The sequence below is a fragment of the Homo sapiens genome, chromosome 12, assembly GCF_000001405.40.
Source record: "Homo sapiens chromosome 12, GRCh38.p14 Primary Assembly".
Lineage (NCBI taxonomy): Eukaryota > Metazoa > Chordata > Mammalia > Primates > Hominidae > Homo > Homo sapiens.
The window spans coordinates 57,505,034-57,516,434 of NC_000012.12; the positions used below are offsets into that span (position 1 = coordinate 57,505,034).

General features: G+C 49.3%; 1 protein-coding gene, 1 non-coding gene and 1 pseudogene across 4 annotated transcripts in view; all 3 read left to right on the top strand.

The window, feature by feature from the left end:
• MARS1 (methionyl-tRNA synthetase 1) overlaps nucleotides 1-11,401 on the top strand; it is a 28,585-nt gene that overhangs the window by 16,966 nt on the left and 218 nt on the right. For 2 of the 3 annotated variants that reach the window (NM_004990.4, XM_047428851.1), the window contains 9 exons: nucleotides 6,665-6,835; nucleotides 6,975-7,070; nucleotides 7,203-7,320; nucleotides 7,718-7,931; nucleotides 9,687-9,818; nucleotides 9,921-10,025; nucleotides 10,117-10,303; nucleotides 10,887-10,958; nucleotides 11,212-11,304. In NM_004990.4, the coding sequence (NP_004981.2) occupies nucleotides 6,665-6,835; nucleotides 6,975-7,070; nucleotides 7,203-7,320; nucleotides 7,718-7,931; nucleotides 9,687-9,818; nucleotides 9,921-10,025; nucleotides 10,117-10,303; nucleotides 10,887-10,958; nucleotides 11,212-11,304 (1,188 nt within the window). Of the gene's footprint in view, nucleotides 1-6,664; nucleotides 6,836-6,974; nucleotides 7,071-7,202; nucleotides 7,321-7,717; nucleotides 7,932-9,686; nucleotides 9,819-9,920; nucleotides 10,026-10,116; nucleotides 10,304-10,886; nucleotides 10,959-11,211; nucleotides 11,305-11,401 lie in introns of those variants that run through there. The other variant, XM_047428852.1, reaches the window with a different exon arrangement.
• On the top strand, nucleotides 6,004-6,102 carry LOC124903093 (uncharacterized; annotated as a pseudogene).
• MIR6758 (microRNA 6758) lies at nucleotides 7,655-7,717 on the top strand. The gene has a single exon (NR_106816.1). It is a non-coding gene; the product is annotated as a microRNA 6758 (primary transcript).

Below are 11,401 nucleotides of genomic sequence, written 5' to 3' on the forward strand. Positions count from 1 at the left end.
AGATGGGTTCTCACTGTGTTACCCAGGCTGGTGTCAAACTCTTGGGCTCAAGCAGTTCTCCTGCCTCTGCCTGCAAACGTGTTGGGATTAGAGGCATGAGCAACTGTGTCCAGCATTGACCTCCTGATTTGTTTTTTTTTTTTTTGAGATGGAGCTTCTCTCTTGTTGCCCACACTGGAGTGCAATGGCACGGTCTCGGCTCACTGCAACCTCTGCCTCCCAGGTTCAAGCGATTCCTCTGCATCAGCCTCCCAAGTAGCTGGGGTTACAGGTGCCTGCCACCATGCCTGGCTAATTTTTGTATTTTTAGTAGAGATGGGGTTTCACCATGTTGGCCAGGCTGGTCTCGAACTCCTGACCTCAGGTAATCCATCCACCTCGGCCTCCCAGTGTGCAGGGATTACAGGTGTGAGCCACCATCCCAGCCTGACCTCCTTTTTAAAATACAGTGTTCCTCCTTCTGTACCCTGGGCTTGGAGAAAAAAAAAAATAGGCTGGGCGCAGTGGCTTATCATGCCTGTAATCCTAGCACTTTAGGAGGCTGAGGTGGGAGGATCTCTTGATGCCAGGAGTTGGAGACCAGCCTGGAAAACATAGTGAGACACTGTCTTTACAACATAATTGAAAAATTAGCCGGGTATGGTGGTGCGATCCTGTAGTCTCAGCTATGCAAGAGGCTGAGGTGGGAGGATCATTTGAGCCCAGGAGTTTGAGGTTACAGTGAGCTGTGATTGTGCCACTATACTCCAGCCTGGGCAACAGAGTGAGACTCTATCTCTAAAGCATAAAAAAATTAAAGGCCACATGCAGTGACTCACTCCTGTAATTCCATTACTTTGGGAGGCTGAGGTGGGAGGATTGCTTGAGCCTAGGGGTTTGAGACCAGCCTGAGCAACATGGCAAGACCCTGACTCTACAAACAGTGAAACAATTAACCTGGCCTGGGTGCAGTGGCTCACGCGTTAATCCTAACATTTTGCAAGGGCTACCTAGGTGGGCCGATGACTTGAGCCTAGGACTTTGAGACCAGCCTGGGCAACATGGTGAGACCCCATCTCTACAAAAAATACAGAAGTTAACTGGGTGAGTTGTGAGCAGCTGTAGTCCCAGCTACTCAGGAGGCTGAGGTGGGAAGATCACCTGAACCTGGGAAGGTTTGAGGCTGCAGTGAGCCATGATTGAACCATTGCACTGCAGCTTGGGTGACAGACTGAGACTCTGTATCAAAAAGAAAAAAAGAAAAAATTAGCCAAATGTGGTGGTGCACATCTCTGGCCCCAGCTACTTGGGAGGCTAAGGTAGGAGGGTTGCTTTGAGCCCAGGAGCTGGAAGCTATAGTGAGCCATGATTGTACCACTGCATTCCAGTCTGGGCAGCAAAGTGAGACCCTGTCTCAAAAATAAATAAATACATAAAATATAATAGTCCTCAGGTTGGGTTTGTTGGGTGTTTCCTCATGATTTCAGGCTATGCATTCTTGGTTGGAATACTACATAAATGACATTGTGTCCTTTTCAGAGCCACGTGATGGCCATCCCCTTCACTGGGAATCTTAATTTTGTTTGGTCAGGTGTTATTCAATTTGTTCACTGTGTGATTAATATTTTCCCCATTGCAACTTATGAGCAGTCTGGGAATACACTTTATTTTTTTCTTTTCTTGAGATGGAGTCCCGCTCTGTTGCCCAGACTGTAGTGCAGTGTTGTGATTTCAGCTCACTGCAACCTCCACCTCCCAGGTTCAAGTGATTCTCCTGTCTCAGCCTTCGAGTAGCTGGGATTACAGGCACATACCACCATGCCTGGCTAATTTTTGTCTTTTTTTTTTTTTTTTTTTAATTGACCATTCTTGGGTGTTTCTCGCAGAGGGGGATTTGGCAGGGTCATAGGACAATAGTGGAGGGAAGGTCAGCAGATAAACAAGTGAACAAAGGTCTCTGGTTTTCCTAGGCAGAGGACCCTGCGGCCTTCCGCAGTGTTTGTGTCCCTGGGTACTTGAGATTAGGGAGTGGTGATGACTCTTAACGAGCATGCTGCCTTCAAGCATCTGTTTAACAAAGCACATCTTGCACCGCCCTTAATCCATTTAACCCTGAGTGGACACAGCACATGTTTCAGAGAGCACAGGGTTGGGGGTAAGGTTATAGATCAACAGCATCCCAAGGCAGAAGAATTTTTCTTAGTACAGAACAAAATGAAAAGTCTCCCATGTCTACCTCTTTCTACACAGACACGGCAACCATCCGATTTCTCAATCTTTTCCCCACCTTTCCCCCCTTTCTATTCCACAAAACCGCCATTGTCATCATGGCCCGTTCTCAATGAGCTGTTGGGTACACCTCCCAGACGGGGTGGTGGCCAGGCAGAGGGGCTCCTCACTTCCCAGTAGGGGTGGCCGGGCAGAGGCGCCCCTCACCTCCCGGACGGGGCGGCTGGCCGGGCGGGGGGCTGACCCCCCCCCCACCTCCCTCCTGCATGGGGCGGCTGGCCGGGCAGAGGGGCTCCTCACTTCCCAGTAGGGGCGGCCGGGCAGAGGCGCCCCTCACCTCCCGGACGGGGCGGCTGGCCGGGCGGGGGTCTGGCCCCCCACCTCCCTCCCGGACGGGGCGGCTGGCCGGGCGGGGGTCTGGCCCCCCACCTCCCTCCCGGACGGGACGGCTGGCCGGGCGGGGGTCTGGCCCCCCACCTCCCTCCCGGACGGGGCGGCTGGCCGGGCGGGGGCTGACCCCCCACCTCCCTCCCGGACGGGGCGGCTGGCCGGGCGGAGGCTGACCCCCACCTCCCTCCCGGACGGGGTGGCTGCCGGGCGGAGACGCTCCTCACTTCCCAGACGGGGTAGCTGCCGGGCGGAGGGGCTCCTCACTTCTCAGACGGGGCGGCTGCCGGGCGGAGGGGCTCCTCACTTCTCAGATGGGGCGGCTGCCGGGCGGAGGGTCTCCTCACTTCTCAGACGCGGCGGCCGGGCAGAGGCGCTCCTTACATCCCAGAAAGGGCGGCGGGGCAGAGGCGCTCCCCACATCTCAGACGATGGGCAGCCGGGCAGAGACACTCCTCACTTCCTAGATGGGATGGCAGCTGGGAAGAGGCGCTCCTCACTTCCTAGATGGGATGGCGGCCGGGCAGAGACACTCCTCACTTTCCAGACTGGGCAGCCAGGCAGAGGGGCTCCTCACATCCCAGACGATGGGTGGCCAGGCAGAGATGCTCCTCACTTCCCAGACTGGGTGGCGGCACGGCAGAGGCTGCAATCTCGGCACTTTGGGAGGCCAAGGCAGGCAGCTGGGAGGTGGAGGTTGTAGCGAGCCGAGATCACACCACTGCACTCCAGCCTGGGCACCATTGAGCACTGAGTGAACGAGACTCCGTCTGCAATCCCGGCACCTCGGGAGGCCGAGGCTGGCGGATCACTGGCGGTTAGGAGCTGGAGACCAGCCCGGCCAACACAGCGAAACCCCGTCTCTACCAAAAAAATACGAAAACCAGTCAGGCGTGGCGGCACGCGCCCGCAATCGCAGGCACTCGGCAGGCTGAGGCAGGAGAATCAGGCAGGGAGGTTGCAGTGAGCAGAGATGGCGGCAGTACAGTCCAGCTTCGGCTCGGCATCAGAGGGAGACCGTGGAAAGAGAGGGAGAGGGAGACCGTGGGGAGAGGTAGAGGTAGAGGTAGAGGTAGAGGGTAGAGGGTAGAGGGAGAGCATTTTTGTATTTCTAATAGAGATGGGGTTTCACTATGTTGGCCAGGCTGGTCTCAAACTTCTGACCTCAAATGATTCACCCGCCTTAGCCTCCCAAAGTGCTGGGATTACAGGTGTAAGCCACTGCGCCCAGCCTTGAGGGAATACACTTTAAAGACCATGCAATACTTTGCTCTTCGTGAACAAAATATTCCCTATAAATGTAGCATTCATTGATCATTCTTACCTGAATCAATCTTTATTATGGTGATTTTCCAACTCTACCACTACTCTCTATATTTATCCTTCTCCCTCCATTTATTTTTTAATTTAGTTAACTATTTATTATCAGTATAGACTCATGGATTCCTATTTTTTTCAATTTCTTATAATCCTTTCCTGTCCTAAATTTATTTTCATGTTCAAATTGTTACTTATTTCATCAGTAGGAACGTATTCAAGGTGGCTTGTCTGCTTTTGAGATCTCCCATCATGTTTTAAACACTTCCTTAATTTGTGGCATAAAAAAATACTCTAGGTTCATCTGGTTCAGCCTTGAAATCAACCATGTCACCAACCTTGAGTTTAATTTAGTAGGGAACAGTATTAGATACCAAAATCTAGGTGGTAGATGTGCTCATTGCTACTGGGTGTCTTTGCTACTAGGACCTTTTATCAAAGAGAGTTGGTATTTGTTTTTTGTTGTTTGTTTGTTTGTTTTGAGACAGGGTCTTGCTGTCACCTAGGCTGGAGTGCAGTGGCACTATCTTGGCTCACTGCAACTGCCATCTCCAGGATTCAAGCGATTCTCCTGCCTCAGCCTCCTGAGTAGCTGGGATTACAGGCACCTGCCACCACACCCAGCTAATTTTTTTTGTATTTTTAGTAGAGACAGGGTTTCACCATGTTGGCCAGGCTGGTCTCCAACTCCTGATCTCAGGTGATCTGCCTGCCTTGGCCTCCCGAAGTGCTGGGATTACAGGCGTGAGCCATCGTGCCTGGCCAGTTGGTATTTATTTTAAGTTCACACTGACACCTGCAATTTCAGTCCATCCCCACAGAGTTCTTCGTCACTTTCTCTTATTTATTTCATGTCTCTATCTACCTTCTTCCACTGTAGGTGTCCTGGTTCTCAATAGGCATCAGCACATTTACTTATTAGCTCAATCCTACAATATACCTAAAACAATTTCAGAATTGCTTTGCTGGTACGTCTACAAAAAAAATAACCTATTAAAAAGAGTTTAGGATTTGTTGGCAATCCTGATTCCTCCCCTAGACTAAGGGTATATAGCCAAGTGTGTTCAAACAAAATTTTTTTCTAGAGACAGGGTCTCACTCTGTCACCCAGGCTGGAGTGCAGTGGCACAATCACAGCTCACCGCACTCTCAAACTCTCGGGCTCAAGTTATCCTTTTGCTTCAGCCTTCTGCGTAGTTGGGACTACAGGCGTGTACTATCATGCCTGGCTGATTAAAAAAAAATTGACTAGGCATGGTGACTCACGCCTGTAATCCCAGCAGTTTGGGAGGCCAAGGCAGGCGGATCATGAGGTCAATAGACCGAGACCATCCTGGCCAACGTGGTGAAACCCCATCTCTACTAAAAATACAAAAATTAGCCAGGCGTGGTGGCACCGACCTGTAGTCCCAGCTACTCAGGAGGCTGAGGCAGGAGAATCGCTTGAACCTGGAGGTGGGGAGGTTGCAGTGAGCTGAGATCGTGCCACTGCACTCCAGCCCGGGCAGCTGAGCAAGACTCCAGCTCAAAAAAATTTTTTTTTGGTTGGGCATGCTGGTTTACACCTGTAATCCCAATGCTTTGGGAGGCCAAGGCTGGAGGATTGCTTGAGCCTTGGAGTTTAAGACCAGCCTGGGCAACAGAGTGACACCCTACCTTAAAAAAAAAAAAGAAAATTTTTTTTTTCTTTTTTGCACTTCCTCAGCTGGCCATGGTGGTTCATGCCTGTAATTCCAGCACTTTGGGAGGCTGAGGCAGGAGGATCGCTGGAAGCCAGGAGTTTGAGAGTAGCCTGGGCAACAAAGCAAGACCCTGTCTGTATTTAAAAAAAGAAAAAATTGGTTGGGCACGGTGGCTTATGCCTGTAATTCCAACTTCCAACACTTTGGGAGGCTGAGGCGGGAGAATTGCTTGACCCCAGGAGTTTGAGACCAGGGTGGGCAACTTGGTGAAACCCATCTCTACTAAAAATACAAAAATTAACCAGGTGTGGTGGCACGTGCCTGTAGTGCCAGCTACTCAGGAGGCTGAGGTGGAAGGATCACTTAAGCCTGGGAGGTTGAGGCTGCAGTGAGCCATGATGTGCCACTGTACTCCAGCCTGGGTGACAGTGAGACCCTGATATGGACAAGATTAGCACATCCTCTGCACAAGAATGACATGCAAACTTGTGAAGTGTTCCATATTTTTAAAAATTAAAAAAAAAAAAATTTTTTTTAGGGACAGGATTTTGCTGTGTTGCCCAGGATGGTCATGAACTCCTGCCCTCAAGTGATCCTCCTGCGTCAGCCTTCGGAGTAGCTGGGATTACAGGCGCAAGCCACTGCCCCTGGCTGTGTGTTAAAAATCTAGTTAAGGCTGGGCAGGGTGGCTCACAACTGTAGTCTCAGCGCTTTTGGAGGCTGAGGTGGGCAGATTGCTTGAGCTCAGGAGTTCAAGACCAGCCTGGGCAATGTGGCAAAACCCTGTTTCTACAAAAATTACAGTCTGGCATGGTGGTGTGCACCTGTGGTCCCAGCTACTGGGGAGGTTGAGGTAGGAGGATTGCTTGAGCCCAGGAGGTTTAGGCTGCAGTGAGCTGTGATTATGATTGCACCACTGCACTCTAGTCTGGGCAACAGAGCAAGACTCTGTCTCCAAAAAAAAAGTTATATATTGCCAAATTGTGCTCCAAAAAGGTTATATGTGTTTATCCTTATGCTAACCATATATGAGACTTTCCTAAATCAGCCCTCTTTCTCCGTTATCTCAGCTGGAGAAGCGACTGGAGGAGTGGTTGGGGAGGACATTGCCTGGCAGTGACTGGACACCCAATGCCCAGTTTATCACCCGTTCTTGGCTTCGGGATGGCCTCAAGCCACGCTGCATAACCCGAGACCTCAAATGGGGAACCCCTGTACCCTTAGAAGGTTTTGAAGACAAGGTAAAAACCCTTTTTTATTCATATCATTCAGCCTTAGTGTTGAAACCCTGGGCTAGCAGAGTAGACTGCTGATTATGTCTTGTTTCAGTTTGAGACTTTGGATTGGTCCCTAACATGTTTACCTCCTTCTGACCTCCAGGTATTCTATGTCTGGTTTGATGCCACTATTGGCTATCTGTCCATCACAGCCAACTACACAGACCAGTGGGAGAGATGGTGGAAGAACCCAGAGCAAGTGAGCAGTTCTTGGTTAGGCTGTGCATGGGGAGGGTAGGCGGTAGGGTGTGGGTGTTAGGGTTGGGTGTCTGGTCTTCCTTGGGCCTTTGAAGGAGGTCTCAGGAAATCTCTCCTAACCACATTCCCCTAGGTGGACCTGTATCAGTTCATGGCCAAAGACAATGTTCCTTTCCATAGCTTAGTCTTTCCTTGCTCAGCCCTAGGAGCTGAGGATAACTATACCTTGGTCAGCCACCTCATTGCTACAGGTAAGTACCCTGGAAGACTACTGATGGGGTGTTCATAGGAAATGAGGGGTGAGGCAGTACTTGGAAAAAGATCTTGGAGAGCTGCTATCTTGAGTTAGGAGTTGAGCTGAAATAGGAAATAATTAAAATGAGAACTCAACCTAGAGAAACGAACAAGAACCTGAAGAAAGCAAAAGTCTAAAGCTAAAACTCTTTAGTAGATATAAGCAAAGAGAAAAAAGGGCCAGAATGGATAGGAAGGGACTCCCAAAATCTGAGCATACCAGCCCCTTAAGGAGAAATGTTGCTAGACACCCATAGTTGAGGTTAGAAAGAGGAAAGAAGGAAGAGTTAGTGGGCTAGAGAGGGGAAGGATGTGATGTGAGCAGATGGTTCTCACTCATTCTCCTCTGTCCAGAGTACCTGAACTATGAGGATGGGAAATTCTCTAAGAGCCGCGGTGTGGGAGTGTTTGGGGACATGGCCCAGGACACGGGGATCCCTGCTGACATCTGGCGCTTCTATCTGCTGTACATTCGGCCTGAGGGCCAGGACAGTGCTTTCTCCTGGACGGACCTGCTGCTGAAGAATAATTCTGAGCTGCTTAACAACCTGGGCAACTTCATCAACAGGTAGGACTTGGTAAGGGGTCAGAGTTAGCAGTGAGCTGGGGTGGGGCTCATTTTCCCTCAGGAGATGGGAATGTGGAGAGAACTAGAAAATGGGCAGGAGGCTGTGAGGACACTGTGGAAAGTTGATTTCTATTAATTGGGATCTGTTCCTAGCACATACTAGGCTATGTGTGCTTGATGGAACAGTTAGCTGTAGAGATGTGATTTAGCAAAGTTGGTTATAAAGTGGGTTTTTGTAAATTGTTTCCTTATTACTGTTCTTTGTAGAATTGAAGATGTATTCTCTCCCAGCAAAATAGTTCACCTGCAGATCATTGAAAAGTTTGGCTGAAGAAAGGGGTTATTTTGGTGTGGGGGTAGGAGGCTTCTGTGGGCTGGGCATGGTGGCTTACATTTGTAATCCCAGCACTTTGGGAGGCTGAGGCAGGAGGATCACTTGAGGCCGGGAGTTCAAGACTTGCCTGACCAACATAATGAATCTCCCATCTCTACAAAAAGAATCAGCCAGGCGTGGTGGCGCACACCTGTAGTCCCAGCCACTCAGGATGCTGAGGCGGGATGGTCTCTTGAACTTGGGAGATTGAGGCTGCAGTGGAGCAGTACTCGTACCCCTACACTCCAGCCTTGGCAAAAGAGGGAGATCCTGTCTCAAAAAAAAAAAAAAAAAAAGGCTTCTGCTATACTCTTCAGAGTTCAGAGTTTTTGTTACCTTAGGCTCACATTCTATCATTGGTGCCTATCTCAGCTCTTCTGCAATCTAAAGCAGTATTCTCCAGAATTTAGGATTCTTTAGTCACACTCTCTGAGCCCTGGACCCTTATAGGTCAGTCCTGCTACTCACTTTCAGCTTTGGTAATTAACCACATTTAATAAATAGTCCTTACCTACAGGAGTTCGAGACCAGCCTGGCCAACCTGGTGAAACCCCGTCTCCACTAAAAATACAAAAAGTAGCCGGGCGTGGTGGCGCACATCTGTAATCCCAGCTACTCAAGAGGTTGAGGCAGGAGAATCACTTGAACCCGGGAGGCAAAGGTTGCAGTGAGCCAAGATCATGCCACTGTGCTCCAGCCTGGGCAACAGAGTGAGAATCCTCAAAAAAAAAAAAAATTAAAAAAAAAAAAAAGTACTTGCCTAGAGTGTTTGTTTGATAGCAGTTAACACATACTCAGCTTGGTCATTTTGAGTAATGACTTTTTTTTTTTTTTTTTGAGATGGAGTTTCTCTCTTGTTGCCCAGGCTGGAGTGCAGTGGCGCGATCTTGGCTCACTGCAACCTCCGCCTCCCGGGTTCAAGCAATTCTCCTGCCTCAGCCTCCAGAGTAGCTGGGATTACAGGTGCACACCACCACGCCCGGCTAATTTTTTGCATTTTTAGTAGAGACGAGGTTTCACCATGGCCAGGCCAGGCTGGTCTTGAACTTCTGACCTCAGGTGATCTGCCCACCTCGGCCTCCCAGAGTGCTGGGATTTTAGGCGTGAGCCACTGCGCCCGGCCGAGTAATGACTTCTTAAAAATAAGAGGTACAGTTGTTTAACTTAATCAGGTTTCTTATGTGCAGAGTCAGATTCTTAGGGGAGAGAAAGAGTAAATAATTAGGCCTTGTCTACTAGCTTGAGGGAGCCAGGAGTTACCTGTTCCAGGCAGGAATCCTGAGAGAATGTACAGCTGTGGAAATTGGGTGAAATTCTAACAAGGAGACGGGATAATAACTTCCCCTCTTTTTTCCACTTCTGCTTTCCTACTCCCAACCAAGAGCTGGGATGTTTGTGTCTAAGTTCTTTGGGGGCTATGTGCCTGAGATGGTGCTCACCCCTGATGATCAGCGCCTGCTGGCCCATGTCACCCTGGAGCTCCAGCACTATCACCAGCTACTTGAGAAGGTTCGGTAAGTAACTGACACCTCTGTCTTTTCTGCTGGCATGTTGAGAGCCTCCTTGTATTGGTCTCTGTAGGACATTACACCTTGGCCTGCTTCCTCCCTTCCCAGGATCCGGGATGCCTTGCGCAGTATCCTCACCATATCTCGACATGGCAACCAATATATTCAGGTGAATGAGCCCTGGAAGCGGATTAAAGGCAGTGAGGCTGACAGGTAGGTAAGCGGGGAGGGTTGGCTAAAGGCATAAAGTGGCTTGTAAGCTGTATCCTCCTGGAGGTCTTGACTAATGTCTCCTCTTCCTCAGGCAACGGGCAGGAACAGTGACTGGCTTGGCAGTGAATATAGCTGCCTTGCTCTCTGTCATGCTTCAGCCTTACATGCCCACGGTTAGTGCCACAATCCAGGCCCAGCTGCAGCTCCCACCTCCAGCCTGCAGTATCCTGCTGACAAACTTCCTGTGTACCTTACCAGCAGGACACCAGATTGGCACAGTAGGTGGAAGAGCCAGCCTCTCTTAAAATTGATACTCTTGCCATGCAGCTTTTGGAGTGGGTGAGAGAAGACCTAACATCTCTCCAGTGTTACTTTGGTCATGGGACTCCTAAGTTTCTGATATAAAGTCCTTGGTAGTCGTTCACAAGTCCGGAATTATCTGTACATCTTCATTGTTCTTCATGCCAGAAACCAGAACCTGGCACACAAAACTAACTGGTAAACAGATATTTGAAGAAACACTGTGATCACCTAGTCTCCATAATGCTAGCAGATAGTGGGCAGGGAAAATACAGGAAAGCCATTTCCTCTTTGACACAAAATGAAAAAGTAAGTACATTGCTAAACTTCTGGATCAGCCTAGCATCCTTAGAGAGCTTAAAGAATCTTTGACCCTACAAATTATTTGGGGTTTCACAGGGAAAGCTACAGCTAATTTCCTAAAATCAGCAGATATTAGCTCAGTGTTAAGCTCGTTCTTTCTAAAACACATCAGAGATTGGGGTTGGAGAGGTCATCTGTATAGTCTATGGTAGAGTCTGTATCCAATCAGTAGATGATTCTGGAACTCTTTTTTTACAGGTCAGTCCCTTGTTCCAAAAATTGGAAAATGACCAGATTGAAAGTTTAAGGCAGCGCTTTGGAGGGGGCCAGGTGAGAAAGCTAAAGGCTGTGCCCTCGCTCCACAACAGCCACAGCATCACTTCCCTAATTTCCCTAAGTAGTCCTCACCCATCACTCTTTCCATCTTTTGGCCCTGCCGCTTCCTCACTTACAGTTTTTCTTTCCTGTCTTAACTAGAAGAGACCTTCGACTTAAAGGTAACCACTTTCCCTCTGAGATGCTGTATAAAACTGGAGGTTAGGGGATATTTATGGTTGCTGGTGATAACTTTGTTGTTCTCCAGGCAAAAACGTCCCCGAAGCCAGCAGTTGTAGAGACTGTTACAACAGCCAAGCCACAGCAGATACAAGCGCTGATGGATGAAGTGACAAAACAAGTATGAAGCTTAAGCCCTGTGGGAGACTGGACAAGCTGAATCCTAAATAGATCTTTTTCTTGCCTCACTGTTACCTCCCCACCCCCCTTTATCTTAG